The sequence below is a fragment of the Homo sapiens genome, chromosome 5, assembly GCF_000001405.40.
Source record: "Homo sapiens chromosome 5, GRCh38.p14 Primary Assembly".
In the NCBI taxonomy this organism is placed as follows: Eukaryota; Metazoa; Chordata; class Mammalia; order Primates; family Hominidae; genus Homo; species Homo sapiens.
Window position 1 is genome coordinate 57,220,618 of NC_000005.10, and position 22,527 is coordinate 57,243,144.

General features: G+C 38.8%; 1 protein-coding gene across 5 annotated transcripts in view; it reads left to right on the forward strand.

The window, feature by feature from the left end:
• Positions 1-22,527, forward strand: part of GPBP1 (GC-rich promoter binding protein 1) — a 90,621-nt gene that overhangs the window by 46,559 nt on the left and 21,535 nt on the right. For 2 of the 5 annotated variants that reach the window (NM_001127235.2, NM_001127236.2), the window contains 4 exons: positions 759-779; positions 10,229-10,352; positions 10,481-10,704; positions 15,349-15,415. In NM_001127235.2, the coding sequence (NP_001120707.2) occupies positions 759-779; positions 10,229-10,352; positions 10,481-10,704; positions 15,349-15,415 (436 nt within the window). Of the gene's footprint in view, positions 1-758; positions 780-10,228; positions 10,353-10,480; positions 10,705-15,348; positions 15,416-16,495; positions 16,556-22,527 lie in introns of all 5 variants that reach the window. The other 3 variants (NM_022913.4, NM_001203246.2, NM_001331037.2) reach the window with 2 other exon arrangements.

A 22,527-nucleotide genomic window follows, 5' to 3' on the forward strand; every position in this document is an offset into this window, starting at 1 on the left:
CCCAGCTGATTTTTGTATTTTTAGTAGAGATGGGGTTTCATCATATTGTCCAGGCTGGTCTTGAACTCCTGACCTCAGGTGATCAACCTGACTCGGCCTCTCATAGTGCTAGGATTACAGGCACGAGCCACTGCACCCCGCCCAATTTGAACTCTTAACTAGCAGTATTTGAGATTTGTTTCTTTGCCCAAAGTGGTTTTGACAAACACAATACTTTCTAGTGATACTTTTATTGTACCTTTTCTGTCTTATTCTTTCTCAGAATCATCATTTATGAATTCTATTTGTAATTAACCTCTTGTTTTCTGCCATAGACTTTTGTTTACCCACATCGTTTCTCTTTTTAATATTGTTCTGAGTAATTGGAACAGACATTAATTAGTATTGCATTCTCTACTTAAACGGCAGTATTTATTTTTTGTTTGAAAAGATGACATGAAGATTTGAATTAAGGGTAAAAATGTTTTCAGAACTGTATGGCAGTAGTTTTGAGATGTGTAGAACTTTAGCCCCATCATGTGGTAAAAATTTAAACTGCATGTGGCTGAGTATAAATCTCTTATTTAGGGCAGTGACTTTTAAACTGTTGATTGTGACCTGTAGTGAGAAGGATATTTTACACAGTCTTTTCATTTTCATGTATATGTAACAAATTTTATATACCTGTGGCGCACTAGTTTTTTCTTTTGTGATTTTCTAGTTTTTTTAAATTCCATTAAATAATGCCAATTGTGACTGATCTTATCATTTGTTAATAGGTCCTGACCAGCAGTTTGAAAGTAAGTATTACTGAAAGAATATTGAACAGATATTGAAAAATTTAGATAACTAGCAAATTCCATTTGTTATGCTAGGAAGGATGACAAAATAATCCCTGTAAACAGGATGCTGTATCTTCATAATTGTTTGATGAAAGATTTCGGGGTTGTGGTATTAAAAGGGTAGATGAATGGTATAAAATAGAAAGTTGGAGATTTTTTTTCTTTTTAAACAAAAAATGTGGTGGAACTTTACTATGATGAATACATTTTCATGTTTGTATTCAATAATCTGTAGTTTTCTCTGTAGTGTATAATAGTAGCATTTTTTGATTCTTTTATGGCAGTGTTAAAAAGATTAGTATTACTGTACCAAAACTTTCCTTTGACAATGTAAGCAGTGTCAGCTTGCGATGAAAATGTAGGCTATTTATACTTTTAGGCTAAAAGGATCAGAAAATTCAGCCAGACTGCTAGTCGAGTTCATTGAAACTTTTAATTTGATTTTTGCTGTTCTGAAGGTACATAGCCAGATTTCATTGAAACTTCTGTGGAGAAGGTTTACTGTGTAGATTTTTTGGTTTATTGTTTATTTAGGTATTCTGGGCTTTAGAGAAAATTTTAAATGAAACTTTTTTTTTCAACTTTAGTTTTGTTTTTTTGTTTTGTTTTTTTTGTTTGTTTGTAGAGACAGGGTCTCACTATGTTGCCCAGGCTGGTCTTGAAATCAGTGCTGGGATTATAGGCTTGAGACACTGTACCTGGCCTTAAAACTATTTTTAAAAACAGTCCAGAAAGAAAGGCAGTGTAAGAGGGAATGGATGGAGATGGTCTCTGCCTTACTTGTTGTAATAAAACACTTATATTAAGGTAACAAAAATCTTAAGATGGTAGACACTCTTATCTCCCCCTGCCCCACCATTTACAGATGAGGGAACTCAGCTTGAGAGATTAATTTGCTGAGACATACTAGAGCTGGAATAGGAAGCCATATGTATCAGACTTTAAAATTCATCAGTTTAATAAGTTTTTTTTCTTGATTATTAGGATAGTAGACTAGGTTTCAGAAGTGAAATGCTAAGTTACTTTTATGCATACACCAGAATATATTTTTATTGCAGTTTGGAGAAACATGAAATAACTGTTTTTTCCCTTTTTTTCAAGGATACCATCTCTAGTATCTTTCTATAGTCAGTCATAGGAAATTCATCTCTTTTTAGTGGCTGTGTAAACTTTTGTTGAGTGGATCTATGTGGATTATGTAATTAATTACCTATTAATGGACTAAACTGTAGAAATACCTGGGCATTTCTTTGATAATGGTAAGGTAAATTTCTAGCAGTAGAATTGCTGAATCAGAAGGTTTGTACATTTTGGTAGATAATGCCTAACTGCTCTCCAAAATGTTCGTATCTACTTATAATCCCATTACAGTTTTATGGGGAGGGGGGCAGGTTTTCAGTCTTGGCGACACTGGATGTTTTCATTTTTACGTTTTTGTGAAATTAGATGAAAAGATGGTATTTCGTTTTGATTTGCATCACTTAATGACGATGGAGCATATTTTTGTGTTAGAAATTTTATCTCAGAATTGCTTATGTAGTGTATTTCTTAGTGATTTATAGCTCCTTTCATATTGGGTTATGTTTGACTATATTTTTTATTAAAATTTTTTTTTTCATATGGCGCCCCAGAACTGAGCAGATGCCATTTATATTGCAAATGTTTTTCTACAGCTTGTTTGATATTTTAAAAAATGTCCTTAATTTTTTTTCCCTCTTAGAGACAGGGTCTCACTGTGTTACCCAGGCTGGTCTTGAACTCCTGGCCTCGGCTTCCTGAGTAGCCGGGACTACACGCGTGTGCCACCACGCCCAGCTAATTTTTGTATTTTTAGTAGAGACAGGTTTCACTGTGTTAGCCAGGATGGTCTTGATCTCCTGACCCCTTGGTCCTCCTACCTCAGCCTCCCAAAGTGCTGGGATTACAAGTATGAGCCACCGTGCCCGGCCTCTATAACTGTTTTCTTTATACTCTTTCCAGAAGTTTGTCAGATTAGCTCCAATTCTTGGTGCTATCAGTGGTACCTTATCATGGTTGAAACTTTTTCAAGAATACCTTGCAGGATCAATATTCAATATAATCAATGGACATTCCATGCTCTCTACCATCCACAGACATCTGGTATTGTGAAGTAGTACTAGAAGAGCCGCCTCAAAATTCAGCTCAAAACAAGTTAAAACTCCACCTTCCTTACCTCCTCACACCTCCGTAAGGCTGTTTGGTCAATGAATGCAGCATAACTAAAGAAATGTCTTCATAGTCGCTTCTGGGTATAATTGGTATAAAAGAAATGAGAAATTGTGAGAATGTAGACATTTTAGTTATATATATATTTTAAAATTATATATATAATTTTAAAATTTATAATTTTAAAAAATATATATATTTGTTTATTTTATTTTATTTTATTTTTGAGATGGAGTCTCGCTCTTTCCCCCAGGCCGGAGTGCAGCGATGCTATCTCGGCTCACTGCAAGCTCTGCCTCCTGGGTTCATGCCATTCTCCTGCCTCAGCCTCCCGAGTAGCTGGGACTATAGGCGCCCGCCACCACACCTGGCTAATATTTTGTATTTTTAGTAGAGACGGGGTTTCACCATGTTAGCCAGGATGGTCTCGATCTCCTGACCTCATGATCCGCCCGCCTCGGCCTACCAAAGTGCTGGGATTACAGGCATGAGCCACCGCGCCCGGCCTTAAATTATATTTTTAATTAAAATTTTTTCTAGAGACAGGGTCTCAGACTATGGCCCAGGCTGGAGTACAGTGGCGTGATCATAGCTTGGTGCAACCTGGAACTCCTGATCCTCTTTTTTTTTTTTTTTGAGACAAAGTTTCTCTTGTTGCCCAGGCTGGAGTGCAGTGGCACAATCTCAGCTCACTGCAGCCTTTGCCTCCCAGGTTCAAGCATTTCTCCTTTTCCATCCTTCCGAGTAGCTGGGACTACAGGCAGATGCCACCATGCCCGGCTAATTTTTGTATTTTTAGTAGAGACGGGGTTTCACCATATTGTTCAGGCTAGTCTCGAACTCCTGACCTCAGGCAGTCCACCTGCCTCAGCCTCCCAAAGTGCTGGGATTACAGATGTGAGCCACTGTGCCTGTCCTCAAATGATCCTCTCTAGTCAGCCTTTCAAGTAGCTGGGACTACAGGTGCGCACCACCATGCCCAGCTAATTTTTTTGTAGAGATGGGGTCTTGCTATGTTGCCAAGGCTGGTCTTGAACTCCTGGCCTCCCAAAGCACTGGGATTATAGGCGTGAGCCACTGTACCCAGTTTATAGTTTTAAAATTCGGGATTATGACCTGACCATCCCTGGACATGATGTTGCTTTCCCCTAAGAGTAATTAAAGTCCAGGCCATACCACAGGGTGATAGCTTGGCCAAAATGGAATCTAAATAATTCTAACTTATTAGATTCTCTTGGGTTGACATCCTAGATCATGAAGACAATGACCATTTGCTTGAGTGAACTGCTCACCTACTCTCCCCCTACAGTATCCATTGAGAACGAAGGTAGGGGACACAGTGGATCACTGCAAATTACATAAAAATGCCCCCATCTCATTCACATCTTACCTCCCCAGATGAAAAGTCTAGGTTCAAGTAGGAGATTTTCTTTTTTTCTTAAGTGAAGTCACAGCTCTTGTACTTTAAAGACTGACATATAGCCAGCACAGTAAAATATGAGTAAGAAATACAATAGGACTAAAAAGGAAGATAGAAAACTGGTATTATTTCGCCGGGCACGGTAGCTCATGCCTGTAATCCCAGCACTTTGGGAGGCCAAGGCGGGCGGATCATGAGGTCAGGAGATCTTGACCATCCTGGCTAACATGGTGAAACCCCGTCTCTACTAAAACCTGGCTAACATGGTGAAACCCCGTCTCTACTAAAAATACAAAATATTAGCCAGGCGTGGTGGCGGGCGCCTGTAGTCCCAGCTACTCGGGAGGCTGAGGCAGGAGAATGGCATGAACCCGGGAGGCGGAGCTTGCAGTGAGCCAAGATCGTGCCACTGCACTGCACCCTGGGAGTCAGCAAGATTCCTTCTCAAAAAAAAAAAAAAAAAAAACAAACTGGTATTATTTGTGAACAATTAACTGTCCATATTAAAAAAAACTCCGACAGATTCTACAAAGTAAGAATTAAGATTGCTAGACACAAGACTAACCAATTTCATGGCTGTGGAGGGAGAGCAGACAACTCCAACACTTGAGAAACACATTACCCCAGGAGGTGCAGAAAGGTGAACAATTAATGCCCTCTCTGTACCGTTGAACCAGCATCACTGCCTGAGTCAAACAGCAGCTGGAGGAGATGACACTGACACACTGCTAGATTTGTCACCTCTGTCCACATGCTTTGAACTTGGAAAAATTGATGTGGACATGGGCAGTCAGCTATCCTGCTACTCCTGATGCCATCAATGCAGCTCCTAAATCTGCATTTGAACACTCAGATCCATACAACCTTGTTTCGTTATGATTAATAACAATTCATATGCTTATCCAGATACCTGAAAGTTAACGACATGTGTAGCAACTGAGGCTCCAGTTACTTTGAGACAGTGTTCATGTTTCTGAACTAAGCTATTAACAGTAATCCAAATCAAGTTTAACAACAGATCTTGGAGTGACCTGTGTCCCTTGGGGTGGTTGGTTTTTATGTGAGAGAATGAGATACAGGACATCTCTCTATTGACAATGAGGGGTAACTTTTGGCCCATTTGTTGCCCTTGTAATTGTTAATGAAAGACACCAACAGTCAGGTCGGTTTAAATTCCTGTTAATGAACTGTAATGGATAATCATGGCCTTAGACCATATCCTGGCAAAATTACTTATTGGTGGTTCCCAACCTCCACCAGCGTTCCTCCTTCCAGGGTTTATTCAGTTGGCTGGGTCCTGACCTCACTTGAGATGTTGATAATAGACTTAATTAAATGCTGTATAAGACCAGTTAAATGAATTTTGTTCTAGTCTCTGTCAGGAAGATTAATATGAGTTACTAACAGTGGAATAATAATGGGAAAATTCAAATTCAGCCAAGAATGTATAGGGCTGATGGGTAGATCATTGAGAGAGGCAATTCATCCTGGGCTCTGAGCATTTTTGCTTTTTTTTTTTTTTTTTTTTTTTTGAGATTGAGTCTTGCTCTGTCACTCAGGCTGGAGTGCAGTGGCGCGATCTCAGCTCACTGCAGCCTCCGCCTGCTGGGTTCAGGCAGTTCTCATACTTCAAGTCACTGGGATTACAGGTGTGCGCCACCAAGCCTGGCTAATTTTTGTATTCTTTTTTTTTTTTTTTTTTTTTTTTTTTTGAGACAGAATTTCGCTCTATTGCCCAGGCTAGAGTGCAGTGGTGCGATCTCTGCTCACTGCAAGCTCCGCCTCCTGAGTTCATGCCATTCTCCTGCCTCAGTCTCCCAAGTAGCTGGGACTGCAGGTGCCCGCCACCGCGCCTGACTAATTTTTTGTATTTTTAGTAGAGACGGGGTTTCACCATGTTAGCCAGGATGATCTCGATCTCCTGACCTCGTGATCCTCCTGCCTTGGCCTCCCAAAGTGCTAGGATTACAGGCGTGAGCCACCGTGCCCGGCCTGTATTCTTTTGAAATTATTTTTTAACTTTTGGAGGTGGAGTCTCGCTCTGTTGCTCAGGCTGGAGTGCAGTGGTGCAATCTTGGCTGACCGCAACCTCCACCTCCCAGGTTCAAGCAGTTCTCCTACCTCAGCCTCCTGAATAGCTGGGATTACAGGCACCCACCACCATACCCAGCTAATTTTTGTACTTTTAGTGAATTTAGTGTATTTAGTGAGCCGTTTCACCATTTTGGCCAGGCTCGTCTCAAACTCCTGACCTCAGGTGATCTGCCCACCTCACCCTCCCAGAGTACTGGGATTACAGGCATGAGCCACCACACCTGGCCTAATTTTTGTAGAGATGGAGTTTCACTGTATTGACCAGGCTAGTCTCAAGCTCCTGACCTCAAGTGATCCACCTGCCTCAGCCTCCCAAATTGCCGGGATTATGGCCATGAGACACTGCACCCAGTCCCCTACACGTTCTTGCTTGTATGCCAAGAATGCAAAATCTTGACTACACTTTGCATGGGCCGTTTCTTGGTTGTTTGCAGTAAGCAACATTGAGGGACAAAGACCAAGCTCTTTATATATGTGGTTGATTTGCCAAACTCAGTGCAAGGGCAGCATCCACCTGGGCCCCTCCCTGTCAATCCCCAAAGGTCTTAGGGGGCTGTACAGAACCAGTGCCAACATCACGCTTATGCTGCTTGCTGTACCATGAGTAATAAAGTCTTTGTCTCATGTCTTTTGCCAGCATCCATGAAACAGTATCCAGGCTAGCTTGTTAGCTTGCACAGATGGTAACATCCCAGACTCTTGAAAGACTCTGACATATAGCCAGCATAGTAAAATATGAGTAAGAAATAACAGGTAACAGGACTAAAGGGCAAGATAGAAAACTGGTATTATTTATGAACAGTAACTGTCCGTATAAAAAAATCCCAACAGACATGCTACAAAGTATGAATTAAGGTTACTAGAAATAAAGTTGCTAGATAAAAGACTAATACAAGATAGAATTGTAAGTGCAACAAAGACTTAAGGCTTTAAAAAATATTTAAAATAGTAACAAGTACCCTGTTTAATTACTTCTTTATATGTTTAAATACTTCATTAAAACCACCTATATAGTCTTTTTAGAATATCAAAGCTAGCTGGGCGTGGTGGCTTACACGTGTAATCTCAGCACTTTGAGAGCCCAAGGCGGGCAGATCACAAGGTCAGGAGTTCGAGACCAGCCTGGCCAATATGGTGAAACCCCATCTCTACTGAAAGTACAAAAATTAGCCAGGTGTGGTGGTGGCCACCTGTAGTCCCAGCTACTTGGGAGGCTGAGGCAGGAGAATCATTTGAACCTGGGAGACGGAGGTTGCAGTGAGCTGAGATTGCACCATTGCACTCCAGCCTGGGTGACAGAGCGAGACTCTGTCTCAAAAAAAAAAAAAGTCTGCATCTATATCTGTATCTCAAAGCTGGGTGCAGTGGTGCATGCCTGTAGTCCCGGCTGCTCAGGAGGCTGAGGCAGGAGCATCACTTGAGGCCAGGAGTTCAAGTCTGGCTTGGGCATATAGATCTGTCTCTAAGGGGGAAAAAGATCCCCTCCATTCTTTATTTTACTCAGATTTCAGCGGGGGAAATTTTTTTAAGGAAATTAAAAAAAATAAGCTGTAGAAAAATATTTGCAGTATAAATGGCATCTGCTCAGTTCTGGGGCATAATACAAAAAAATTTTTAAAATGCTATAAGGTGCTAGGATAAATCTATTGAAATACATGCAAGACTGAAAAAAAAAAACTAACCATAAAGACTTAAAAGATGACAAATATAAGTATAGATATACATGTGCATTTCCCTCCCTACTGAGAGAAGTAAGCAAGCATATATGTATGTGTATGTTTTCTAACCCAGTAATGAATAATTGTCTGGGCTGAGTGCAGTGGCTCACTCCTATAATCCCAGCACTTTGGGAGGCCAAGGCAGGTGGATCACTTGAAGTCAGGAGTTGAAGACCAGCCTGGCCAATAATGATCAAACCCCGTTTCTACTAAAAATATAAAAATTAACCGGTTGTGGTGGTGGGTGCCTGTAATCCCAGCTGCTCACGAGGCTGAGGCAGGAGAATCGCTGGAACCCAGGAGGTGAAGGTTGCAGTGAGCCAAGATCGTGCCACTGCACCCCAGCCTGGGCGACAGAACAAGACTCCATCTCAAAAAAAAAAAAAAAAAAAAAAAAAAAAAAAAAAAAAGGAGTTGTCTGTCTTCTCAACCCTTACTGTCATTATATATTGGCCAATGGGCAAGAGGTGCCAGCTTTGTTCTAATCTTGCATTTTGATTACAAGAGAACCTGGCTATGTTTTCATGTGATTTGTGGCTCTTTAATTTTTGAGAACTGGCTTTTTGCTCATGTTTTCCCCATTAGGTTGTCCTTATTTGTATTGATTTATAGAGCTCTATTTTCCTTTCCTTTCCTTTTCCTTTTTCCTTTTTCTTTCTCTTTCCCTTTCCCTTTCCTTTTCTTTTTTTGATGGAGTCTTACTCTGTCTCGTCCAGGCTCTGGAGTACAGTTGTGTCATCTCGGCTCACTGCAACTGCAACCTGCCTCCCAGGTTCAGGCAATTCTCCTGTCTCAGCCTCCCGAGTAGCTGGAACTACAGGCGTGTGCCACCACACATGGCTAATTTTGTATTTTTTGTAGAGATGGGGTTTCACTGTGTTGGCCGGACTGGTCTGGTCTCGAACTCCTGACCTCAGGTGATCTGCCCACCTCAGTACCCCAAAGTGCTGGGATTACAGGCGTGAGCCACCATGCCTGGCCTTTTTCAAACATTTATTGATCATTTTCATGCATTTTCTTTTTAGATTACTGAGACGACTTGTTAAAATTTTCCCTTCCCTTCCCATCCCGTTGCATCGCATCGCGTCCCGTCCCGTCCCGTCCCGTCCCGTCCCTTCTCACATGCAATGGCGTGATCTCGGTTCACTGCAACCTCCCCGCCTCCCAGGTTCAAGCGATTCTCTTGCCTCAGCCTCCCGAGTAGCTGGGATTACAGGCATGTGCCACCACACCTGGCTCATTTTTTTGTGTTTTTAGTAGAGACGGGGTTTCTCCATGTTGGTCAGCTGGTCTCGAACTCCCAATCTCAGGTGATCCGCTTGCCTCGGCCTCCGAAAGTGCTGGGATTACAGGTGTAAGCCACCGCGCCCGGCCTAAAATTAAATTCTTTAAAAAAACTGTTGGAAGTTTTGATTGTGGTTTTATCAGATTAGTAGATTAATATTTGGGGCTAGTGACTTTTATACATTGTTAGAACTTTTCTGTATTTCTAATTTTTTGGAATACTTATTGTACATTCTTTTATTTTGATACCTTTTTAAAAACACTTGGTTTGGGGAAGAGGAATATGGAAATAAATTTAAGGGACTTAGAACTGAAGATTCATTTGACAATTTTTCTCTGATGTAGAAGGAAACTGAGCTGTAGTGAAAATTTATATCAAGTAGTGTATGATAAAGACTTAACATTTTGTTGAGAAACATCGTATTTTAACTTGTTTTCCATACAGTGGCATTTTACCTTTATATTTTTTGGAAAAAAAGATGTCGAACTCTAAGCACATGTGCTTGTTTCCATTAGATAGAAGAAAATGGACCATCGGTGAATCCATTATACAGTTACCCAGTTATCAAATACCTTGAAAATAACTGCAATATGTTTTTCTTAATCATTTAAAATTTTTGGAAATAAGTGAAGTTGGAGTATTACTAGTTTTTAAAGTTATATTTAGGTTTCATAAATACCTGTATTTTTATAATTTGTTTCAGTCGTCATTGAATTTTGAGAAGCATTCTGAAAACTTTGCATGGACAGAGAATCGTTATGATGTGAACCGTCGACGACACAACTCTTCAGATGGCTTTGATTCTGCTATTGGGCGTCCTAATGGAGGTAAAATTTGCTAAGGAATGATGTTTATGGCTAATTTTCTTTATGATTTTTAAAGAATGTTTTGATGTGATTCAATCTTTAAGCTTCTCTTCTTTGAATTTATATTACTTTGCTATTATCAAATAAAGGTAACTTTGGAAGGAAAGAAAAAAATGGATGGCGTACACATGGAAGAAATGGTACAGAAAACATAAATCATCGAGGTGGATACCATGGTGGAAGTTCCCGTTCTCGTAGCAGTATTTTCCATGCAGGAAAAAGCCAAGGACTACATGAAAACAACATACCTGACAATGAAACCGGGAGGAAAGAAGACAAGAGAGAACGCAAACAGTTTGAAGCTGAGGATTTTGTAAGTTTTTTATGACTTTTATACAAATGAAGTTTCTGTAAGTGCTATTTTAAGTGATTCTCCTGCCTCAGCCTCTCCAGTATCTGGGATTACAGGCATCCACCACCAGGCCCGCCTAATTTTTATATTTTTGTAGAGACAGGGTTTCACCAGGTTGGCCAGGCTGGTCTTGAACTCTTGACCTCAGGTGATCCACCTACCTCAGCCTCCCAAAGTGCTGGGATTACAGCCACTGTGCCACTGCGCACTGAGCCACTGTACACTGAGCTACTGCACCCGGCCAAAATACTGTATTTCTTAAATTACAGAAAAATTGACCCAGTGTACAGTCATATTTATCTAGTTCTTGCGATTCATTCTTGATAATTTAAAAGCTAGATAGAATTTGCACTCTTTTTATATATTCATTGTCAATTCTTATTCAGTATATATGAGTGACTCTGAGTCAGCTGGTGTTCTTGGCACACGCAATACATACTGGATTGAGATAGGCAAAGCCCTTACTCTTACCAAGTTTCTGTTCTCTAAGCAAGTAATATTTTGTAGTGAATTTAGACAGGAAGTGACATTTAATTTGGAACATACTTGATAAGCAGCGAGCTTTTGTTAAGACTGAAAGGAAGAGAGAGAGAGCTCATGCCAAGATGCGATCATCCTTGGTTTATCTTATTTTTTTCATGTTTGTGTGTGTGTATCAGGGTGGGGGGTGGTGGTGGAATTGAGACAGGGTCTCACTCTTTTGCCTAGGCTGGAGTTCATAGCTCACTGCATCTTCAAACTTCTGGGCTCAGGCAGTCCTCTCTTGTCTCAGCCTCTTGAGTAGCTCCTCTAGGACTACAGATGCACACCACTACACCTAGCTCACTATGTTGGCCTAGTTGGTCTTGAACTTCTGGCCTCAAGCAATCCTCCGACCTCGGCCTCCCAAAGGGCTGGGATTATAGGTGTAAAAAGTAAAGTAGAGGTTCTTCAAAGAGACTTTCTTCCTAGTCTAATTAAGAATAATTAGTAACTCTTCTTAGAAGCAGTATTTATTCAAACACTTATGCTAACATTCTTAATTATCTGCTAGCTGTAATAAAGAAATCAACGTACTTTATGTTCTTAGCTCCTACAATTAAGCCTAAATATTTGCCTTGGCATGCTTATACCAATCCAAGCAGGCATTAAGTCATAGACTGTTCTTCCTTATTTGGAGGTGTTTTTACCTTTATCAGCATTCCACAAGTTACTTCCTCCTTCCTTTGTTCTCTGCCTTTGCCTCTTTTAAAAAGTTTAAAAACTTTTTGAAAAGTTCTAAGGTGCTAGCCAATCAGGACAAATACAGAATGTGAAGTCCTGTTCCAGCCAATAGAAACTGGACACAGCAGTAAAGTAGATGCGTCAAGTTATAAATGACCCTGTCTCCTTTGTTCGGTGTACTCTCATGGCAAAACTGGTGGCGAGTGTGTCCTTTCTGCAGAAAGTAAAAATGGCCTTGCCGAGGAAGTTAAATTTATGTTCAAGTGCTATTTATTTACGGCACCAAAGAACAAGCATTTCTAACATAGGCATGAGTCATCATACCCAGCCAACCTTGTTATGTTTAAGGGATAAAAGGCTAGTATGAGTAAAGAGTAGTTTAGTATTAGACAAGGTTAGAGAGAGAGGAAAGGATTTAAATTGAATGGAATTTTTGCAGGTCATCAAAGTACAGAATTTTGGTTTAATTACAAGGTGAATGAGAAGCTGGTTTAGAGAGGAGTCACGTGATGCATTGTTAGTTTTTACAGTTCTTAGGTCTTGAACGGATTATAGCAAAAGAGAATACTTCAGGAGAAAATGATGGCTTGAACTGGGTAGTTGAGATAAATGAAAATAAATAGTTTTTGGATATGATTTGGAAGTATTTTGGATGGAAGGTTTCAGTAAGAGGAAAAATTTGATAGATTGGGTTTAGGGCGAGGAGTGGTGAGGGAAATAGAAAAATAAAAGATTACTCTTAGGTCCTGTTATCAAGTAACTTTGTAATTACTCTGTATTCTCATGTTAGTGATCTGTTTTTTCCACTTAATAATCATAACATTAAAATTTTACAGTATAGTTGACCCTTGAATAACACAGAGGTTAGTGGTACTGATCCCCCCTTGAAGTCCAATTTGCTTATAACTTTTGGCTCCCCCAAAAACTTAACTACTAGTAGCCTACTGCTGACCAAACTCTTGATTATAATATAAACAGTTAACACATATTTTGTATGTGTATTGTATACTGTATTCTTACAGGTAAGCTAGAGAAAAACTGTTACTAAAGTCTTAAGAGGAAATATATTTACTATTGATTAAGTGGAAGTGGGTCATCATAAAGGTCTTTGATTCTTGTCTTGATGTTGAGTTGACTGAAGAGGAAGAGAAGGGGTTGGTCTTGCTGTCTCAGGTGGCACAGATGGAAGAAAATCTAGATGTAAGTGGATTTGCATAGTTCAAACTTGTGTTGTTCAAGGTTCAACTGTATAAACAAACTCTGGGAATGGTAATAGTACTCTCATAGTGTTGTGAGGGTTAAATTAGTAATACAATTAAATTACTTAAAACTGTGTGTGACACATAGTAAGCACTCAATAAAAACTAATTGCTGTTGTTATTTTCATATCCCACCCCCATTCTCAAGATGTGGTTGTCATTGGCTATTATAATCCTAGACTTGGCAGAGTATAATTTCTAATAGTATACTTTAAAGATGCTATGCACATGTAACCACCGCCAAAATCTTAATTCTGTTTAGTTTGTATCTCTGAAGGAATCATGGTGGTATGCATGTATATTTGCTTTACAATAATCTCAGTACAATGTTAGTAATCATTTTTTAGGTGATTAAAATGTTTATATTAAAATTGATTTTATTTAATATATATTAAGTACCTTCTTTAAAAGAGGCAGTTTGTGTGCTAGGAAAAATACCTGATAGAATACTGGAAATTTAGGATTTTGGAGGATAAACGCATCTACCAAGATTAGCTTTAGAGCACTCATTCAATGCTCATCTCACTTTTGTTTTTAATAATCCTGAATATCACTTGTTGAAATACAGATTTGGACTTGGCTTTGGCTTTGATAGTGCGTGTGTTAACTAGTGATGACAACTTTAAGAATTGGGGCTGGGTTCAGTGGCTCATGCCTGTTTTCCCAGCACCTTGGGAGGCTGAAGTGGGAGGTTCAAGTGAAGCCACGAATTTGAGACCAGCCTGGGCAACATAGCAAGACCCATTATCTACAAAGTTTTTATTAAAAAATTAAAATTATTGGGGCCAGTCTAATCACTTGAGCCCTTAAAAGCAGAGAAGTTTCTCCAGCTAAAGTCAGATGTGCAGCAGAAAAGGAAATCCAAGAGCTTTCACGTGTGAGATGGATTTGATGTGCAATCACTGGCTCTGAGATACAGTTGCCCAGATACAAAGCTAAAAAGAGAATTCTCAAAGCTAATAGAAATTCCCAGGTGACAGCCAGCAAGGAAATGGAGACCTCAGTCCTACAGCTACAAGAAACTGGATTGTGCCCACAATTTGAGTGAATCTTCCTATAACCCATGCTGTCAACACAGATTATAGCTTGGTGAAACCTGAAGCAGAGAAACCAGTCAAGCCAACCCAGACTTCTGATCTACAGAGCTATGAGATAATAAACATGTGTTGCTATAATGAAAAAAAAAATTAAAATTATTATTAGTCCAGGTGTGGTGGCTCACTCCTGTAATCCCAGCACTTTGGGAGGCAGAGGCAGGTGGATCACTTGAGGCCAGGAGTTGGAGATCAGCCTGGCCAACATGGTGAAACTCCGTCTGTACTAAAAATACAAAAATTAGCTGGGCATGGTGCTGCTCACCTGTAATCCCAGCTACTTGGGAGGCTGAGACAGGAGAATCACCTGAACCCTGGAGGCGGAGGTTCCAGTGAGCTGAGATCGTACCACTTCACTCCACCTGGGTGATAGAGCAAGACTGCATTTCAAAAAAAAAAAATCTGATTTTCCTCTTCTCTGATCTTGACCTTATGCTAAGGAGGGATTATTTCTTAGACTGATGCAAAGACCTCCATTCTCTTGAGTTTTTCTTTTCTTTTTTTTTTTTGTTTTAAATGAAAGCAAGTTTATTAAGAAAGTAAAGGAATAAGAGAATGGCTACTCCATAGGCAGAGTAGCCTGTTTTTTAACCCTGACTTTTTTCTTAGTTATGGATAAGGAAACTTAAACACACTCTTGTTTTCTCTGACCAGCAATTAGTATAGATAGTAACTAGTTTAATGGTTAGCAAAGTAAGCTGAGAGTAAGGTTTATGAGTAATTCATGTTTAATACAGGCTGAATGTCCTTTATCTGAAATGCTTGGGACCAGAAGTGTTTTGGATTTTGGATTTTTTTCAGATTTTACGTTTATTATTTCAGCATCCTGTTTCTGAAAATCCAAAATCCAAGTGCTTCAATGAGTAGGCAGAGCGTGACACTGGCACTCAAAAAGTTTCAGATTTTGTAGCTTTTCAGATTAGGGTTATTCAACCTGTAGCTAAGAGTTGGTCATATTTGATTCATCAGTTACAACATGTATGATTCTGAGATTGGTTTTAAATGATTTATTTTTAAAATGTGAAATGTTTATTCCAACTTTCTTCCAGCCGTCTTTAAATCCTGAGTATGAGAGAGAACCAAATCACAATAAGTCTTTAGCTGCAGGTGTGTGGGGTAAGTAATTTTTTATCTATATTTGAGGGGCACAAAATGTTGATATTTATAGGTTTCACTTTTTGTGTTTTTTAAAATAGAGAGCAGGCTAGAATAAAACTTTCTTTTTAAAGTATTTGTATTTGATGTGCTTAGCTACAAAAAAGGTAACATTCGTCTTTAAAAAGGAGGATTGGAATAGAAGAGTTTGAAGTAGTTGATTTGCACATGTTAGTATCATTAAACATACTCAACTTGAATATGACTTAAATGATAATAAGTTAGTGTAATGAATTGATACCATTTTGAGAGCAGCTGGATAATGTAAAGAAACAAACTGAGTTTAAATTAATTTTTAGTTGTTCAAAGTTGAAAACTTTAACTGGAAATACTTCTGATCATAGTGTGACATGAAGTTAATATTTTTACCTATGAAAGTGGTTACGTATATATATATACACATATATGTATAGACTGTTACAGATAATTGTATAAATTTGCTTGTGGAGCTAGTCTATATTTGAAGTTATTTGTCTCTGATTTCTGATTTTCAAAGCTTAATGAGAGTTCTTCTAGAAATAACCCAGCCCCCATTTTTTTTTAAAAGACTGCTGACAGTTCAATTTGTTAGCATTTTACAGAAGATTAAACTGAACTCATATAGTACAATTTAGACAGCTTTTTTAAAGATTCAAGTGAAGTTTAAAATAATGGAAAATTTTATACTAAGATTTGACATCTGAAAAATAAAATTAATCATTTGATACTAAATTCAGAGGTGCTCAATCCATGTTGGAACTTAAACACATGTTCATTTGTATTTTTCTATTGAAAATCAACTCACTAAAACAAAAGGATTGTGGCTTTTGACAGCATACTAGTCCTAACAGTAAAGGCATTATTTTAAACTTTGCCACTTCCTGTGCTATATTGTATGTATGAGGTGAAACTCGGGAATTATTTTGTTTTCTTTTGATCTTCCTCTTTATTTAAGGGCTTTTTGAGGGTGGGGGTGGGGGTGGTCAGACACTTTTGTTAGAACCATGTGAATGGCATTGTTTTTTCTGTATTGCAAATTAGTATTTCTACCACTCTCCCCAGGCCTACACGCCCAGACACACACATACCCAACCAAAAAAATCTCCCAAGCTCCTCTCTTAGGTATGTTTCCTTATTATTCAGTTTTTCTGGGAACAACTGATTGCATAAGAATATAGAACCACCTGGAAGGTGTTAAATAGAATCTCTAAGAAATTAGGAATAATTTGGATTTGATTAGAATGAAAGTTTTAAAAATCAAGAATGCCAGTGAGCGTTTGTCATATAAAACTATCTATAGATACTATTGGTACTGATCCTGGGTTGATTTAATAATCTTAGAAATGATTTAGAGACAAAGACATATTTGAAAATAATGAGAGTAAAATGTATTAATATGAAGATTTTGGTTCTACTGTTTCAGGGTTGGTCTAAGGATTTTGAGTACTAGTTGAAAAGATGTTCAAAAGGAAGATGTACTCTTTACTGTGTTTAGGTAAACTAAGAAATGTGTCTGCATAAACAAAAAAAGAAAATGGTTAATTGTGGAATGGTTAATTGTTAAATTCCCAGTACTTCCCATAGGAATACAATGAAACTCTCATTGTATCACACTTTACTATTCCTCTCTCACTTTCCCCCCTGGGTTCCCAAGTATTGTTTTCCCTATTGCAACATTTAAAATAGCTATGTTCCTGAGGAAGACGAGAATTTTAGGAAAGACTTCAATAGAGCTTTTCTAGTGCTACTTCCTTCCAGGTAAGTAAAAATTTACTAACGAAAATATAATATTTATTAAAAAAAAAAAGCAATTTGTCCCTGAAACTATAATTTTGTAGATTGAAAACTGGCAGACTTAAACATGATGCCCCAATTTGAGAAATACCCTGCGGGGAATGTAGTTAAGTGATTTATAATATAGCTACATAAATTGAATTCTGCTTAGAACCTAGTTGGCTTTACTGGAAACACCCTCATGCAGCTTATATCTGTGACTTCAATAGTGTTTTTATGTTAACCAGAATCATAGCTATTAGGTACATAAAATTAATGGTTATTAAATAGTCCATCTCCACGCTGTTAATTTAAAACTAAAACAGGAATTCAAGCTGCCTATGAGAATTTAAAAATAATGTAATTGTTTGATTGATTTCTTTGGTGAGTGAGGAAGAAAGAGTGATGTATGTTCAAGTGTTAGTGTGCAGTTGAGTTGAGTTGCATTAATAATTAGTGGCGACCAGGCATGGTGGCTCATGCCTGTAATCCCAGCACTTTGGGAGGCCAGGGCAGGTGGATCACCTGAGGTCGACACCAGCCTGACCAACATGGAGAAACCCCATCTCTACTAAAAATAAAGAATTAGCCGGGTGTGGTGGCGCATGCCTGTAATCCTAGCTACTCGGGAGGCTGAGGCAGGAGAATCGCTTGAACCTGGGAGGCAGAGGTTGCGGTGAGCCGAGGTCGCACCATTGCACTCCAGCCTGAGCAACAAGAGTGAAACTCCGTCTCAAAAAATAAATAAATAAATAAATAAATTAGTGGCTACTGATCATGTGTTTTTAGAAGTCCTATGGAGTACTGTTTTTGTGCCAGTGACCATGTCAGCAACATACTATTGGCAGAACTTAACATTTACTTAAGATATTAAAAAATCAGAAATTTCAGTGACTAGTAATTAGCTTAAGCATGGTCTTCTTCCAACTCAGCATTTATATATTTTTTCAGCTCCTTGGTAGTTTGATGAGCTTTCTTGATTTTAGCTCATATTTGATATACTACTTAAGAACATAAAGGTTCATTGCTCAGAGTTCTTTTGGTTTGTTGAGCATTCTGAATCAAAGCAAATTAGTCACCAGTTAATATAAATGGATTGTTTTCTAGAGAATTCCAATATTTGCCACAAGCATACAGATTGAGTGACATAATTGCATTCAGTGAGGTAAATTATGATGAAAGCCAATGGGGATTGATTTTATTAATAGGAACTTTGGTAAACAGAATTAAGGGAAGGGAAAATTCTTCGTTGGATTTTTTTGACAGTATTCTGTTGATGAATTGCTTTGTATGTTGAAATGACTTTTAATATCTGTCTTATATGAAAACAGTTGTTGAAATTATAGTGTTTTAAGAAAAAAGTAGTACAACGTGTTCATGGTTGAAAAGGGAAAATTAATAGGATTTGAGTAGACAGCTTGATACAGCTTGACCCAAGTACATTTTATTTGGTCTGAATTACTTGTTCACCATGGAAATTGTTGATATTTGTGAAATGCATTTCTTTAAGCATGTTCTTTATATGAATAACGTTGAGAGCCCCCGTTAAAGGGGGAAAGTACCATATCGATTGGTGTTGATATAAATTATAACAGTTAGTGAAACTCATTTGACTAAAACTCACAGTATTGTAAACCAAAATAGATTTGTTAATAAAATAAAGACGTTAAAAACCAGCTGGGCGTGGTTGCTCATGCCTGTAATCCCAGCACTCTGGGAGGCCAAGGTGGGCTGATCATCAGAGGTCAGGAGTTCAAGACCAGCCTGGCCAAAATGGTGAAACCCGTTTCTACTAAAAATACAAAAATTAGCTGGGCGTGGTACTGTGTGCCTGTAATCCCAGCCACTTGGGAGGCTGAGGCATGAAAATCGCTTGAACCGGGGAGGCAGAGTTTGCAGTGAGCCAAGATCGCGCCACTGCACTCCAGCCTGGGCGACAAAGAGACACTCCATCTCCGAACAAACATTAGAAACCAACAACATTCAAACAGCACCAATTGTTGTAAAAATGATCTTAAACATTTTTTTTGGTATTAAAACTAGTGTTCACAATAGAAATTTGTTTAAATTGCTGCCTTATAGAGTCTTTGCATTTGGTCTGTGTATGTACTATTGTCTTAGTGATAAGTTTTCTCTTCAAATTAATTGGAAAGCTTGCTGGGTGCAGTGGCTCATGCCTGTAATCCCAGCATTTTTGGAGCACAGGATGGGGGTATCACTTGGGGCCAGGAGCTCTCATAGGGAGACCCTTGTCTCTACAAAAATAAAAAATAAAAAATTAACTGGACGTGGTTGTGTGTGTCTGTAGTCTTAGCTACTTGCGAGGCTGAGGTGGGAGGACTGCTTGAGCCCATGATTTCCAGGTTGCAGTGAGCTACGATTGTGCCGCTGCACTCCAGCCTGGGCAACAGAGCAAGACTCTTTCTCCAAAGAAAGAAATGAAAACTTGATTAATTCAGATACTGATTACCCTTCACTTGGCTACATGCTTTTGTTGATACATTAAATTTACCTCTTCTGTCAAAATAATAGGAAACTAAATTAGTAACTGGCATCAATGTGATGATGACTCTTGACGTCACTTGGTATAGTGCACACTTATAAGCCTCTTACCCCAACCATTCAGTGTAGGTTTACTAGTGGAGTTGGAATGGTAAACATTTTGAAATATCTGCCACAGGAACAATTTCCATTTTCTTCATTAATATAATGGTGGAAGAATATTGAGTTCAGAATCAGATGTGGCTAACATTAGATCTTTTGCTTATTGATTATTTAGATTTTGGGCACATTGCTTAATCTGAGTGAATTTATTCATCTGTGAGGTGAGGATGACCACAAAAATTATAATGAGAAAAGCACTGTTGGGCCGGGAGTGGTGGCTCTCACACCTGTAATCCCAGCACTTTGGGAGGCTGAGGCAGGTGGATCACCTGAGGTTGGGAGTTCAAGACCAGCCTGACCAACATGGAGAAACCCTGTCACTACTAAAAATACAAATTTAGCTGGGTGTGGTGGCACATGCCTGTAATTCCAGCTACTCGGGAGGCTGAGGCAGGCGGAGGTTGTGGTGAGCTGAAATCGCGCCATTGCACTCCAGCCTGGGCAACAAGAGCGAAACTCTGTCTCCCATTTAAAAAAAAAAAAAAGGCATTGTTAAGGTTAAATTGTCTACTATGTAAAAATATTTGGTCATGTCACAGGTGTTTAATAAATGTCAGCTAATTATGTTGTTCAAATCCAATAAATGAAGGAGATTCTAGTTGTAGCTTTGTTAGAAGGCAAAAATGAATTTCTAGGTAGTGGGCCAAAGAATGAAGTAGTTAAATGTAGTGATTGAGTCAGAAACTTCATGTATGTAGAAGGTAGCTATATGGAGAGTGTAGTGAAAGGAAAGAGGTGAGGAATTGAAATGTCAACTCTGAATTATCTGTGTGGCCAATTTACTTTGTATTATATGTGGCAGTATTTTTGTTCTAATTTGTCTTCCTGAGAATTGGGCCAGTTCCCCGTCATCACTGCATTTATAGAAGAAAACTAATTCTTACATTCATAGGTATGGGAAGAGCATGAATAACAAGACAATAAAAGTGATATTTAATATTTAAAGTCAATTATAGGGCCAGGATTGGTGGTCCAGGCCTGTAATCCTAGCACTTTGGGAGGCCGAGGTGGGAAGATCAGTTGAAGCCAAGAGTTTGAGACCAGCCTGGGCAGCATAGTGAACCTTGTCTCTACAAAAATAAAAATAAAAAGGTCAGTTATTGTCAGGCTACATTTATTTGCGAGGATAGAGGGAAATAATGTTAAGAAAATCCAAAGGTCACATTTGCCTTCAGTTGTTCTGAAATTTGAACATGAGAATACCTGTGTAGGTGAGGTTGATGTAATAAGCACATGAAACTTATAGAAGATAGTCACTTACTTTCTCATTTTATATAGGTATTAAGGTCTGTCATCAATATATAAGTTTTCTCTTTTAAAATGTAAACATTTGGGGTCTTCTTCATATAATTAACCAAGTCAGAAAGTAAACATTGGATAATGTTTGACTCTAAGAGCTTAAATACTTGGCAAGGTTTTCCTAGGAGAATTTGTGGAGAAAATCTGTGAATAGATGAGCCAATTTTTAAATAATATAAAATGGGGATACATGATGCAAATTAATTCTTGCCTTTTAGTCCCACATCCCTTCTTCCATTACTTACAGGTTATTGTTACCATTAAGAACACTTCTTTTTCTTAAATGAGCAGGTTTATGTCGATTATTCAGAGTTGTTACACAGGACATAGATTGGTTTTATCATGTCTATCTTAAAGTTTTTCTTTTTCTTACTCTTACCAGTCAACCTAAAATTCTTTTTTCCCTCTGATATCTAATTGCAGGTTAAGCAACCTGAAATTCTTGCAAAAGGACACCTTTAATTTGAATTGTAATTGGAATCCTATGCTAGTGACAGTGTATGGCTTTTCTGTATTGTTTTCTAATAATTATTTGAATATGAAACATTCCACAGTAAATCCCAGACAAGAGCTATTGTTTTTCATTTTATAGGTGAGAGATTAAGTAACTTATATAAGATTATACAACTGGTAAGGTTGGAGCTAGTATTCAAATTCTGATAAATCTGGTACAAAAGTACACATTCTTCTGTAATATTTAAATGTGAATTCTTTTTGCAGTTTTTGAGTCAGAGTCTTGCCCTCTCCCCCAGGCATGAGTGCAGTGGTGCGATCATGGCTCATTGCAGCCCCAGCCTCCTAGGCTCAAGCGATCTTCCTGCCTCATTTTTAAATTTTTCATGGAGATGATGTCTCATTATGTTGCCCAGCCTGGTCTTGAACTCCTGGGCTCAAGTGATCCATCCCACCTTGGCCTCCGAAAGTGCTGGAATTACAGGTTTGAGCCACCATGCCTGGCCTAAATATGAATTATTATTATTTTAAATGGAGTCTCACACTGTCGCCCTGGCTGGAGTGCAGTGGTGTGATCTCATCTCACTGCAACCTCTGCCTCCCGGGTTCAAGTGATTCTTCTGCCTCGGCCTCCCGAGTAGCCGGGATTAGAGAGGCCTGCCACCACACCTGGCTAACTTTTTGTATTTTTAGTAAAGACAGGGTTTCACCATGTTGGCCAGGCTGGTCTCAAACTCCTAACCTTGTGATCCGTCCGCCTCAGCCTCCCAAAGTGTTGGGATTACAGGCGTGAGCCACTGCGCCCGGCCTAATATGAATTACTTTTTTTGTTTTTTTCTTTTTTTTGAGATGGAGTGTCACTCTGTCGCCCAGGCTGGAGTGCGGTGGTGTGATCTTGGCTCACT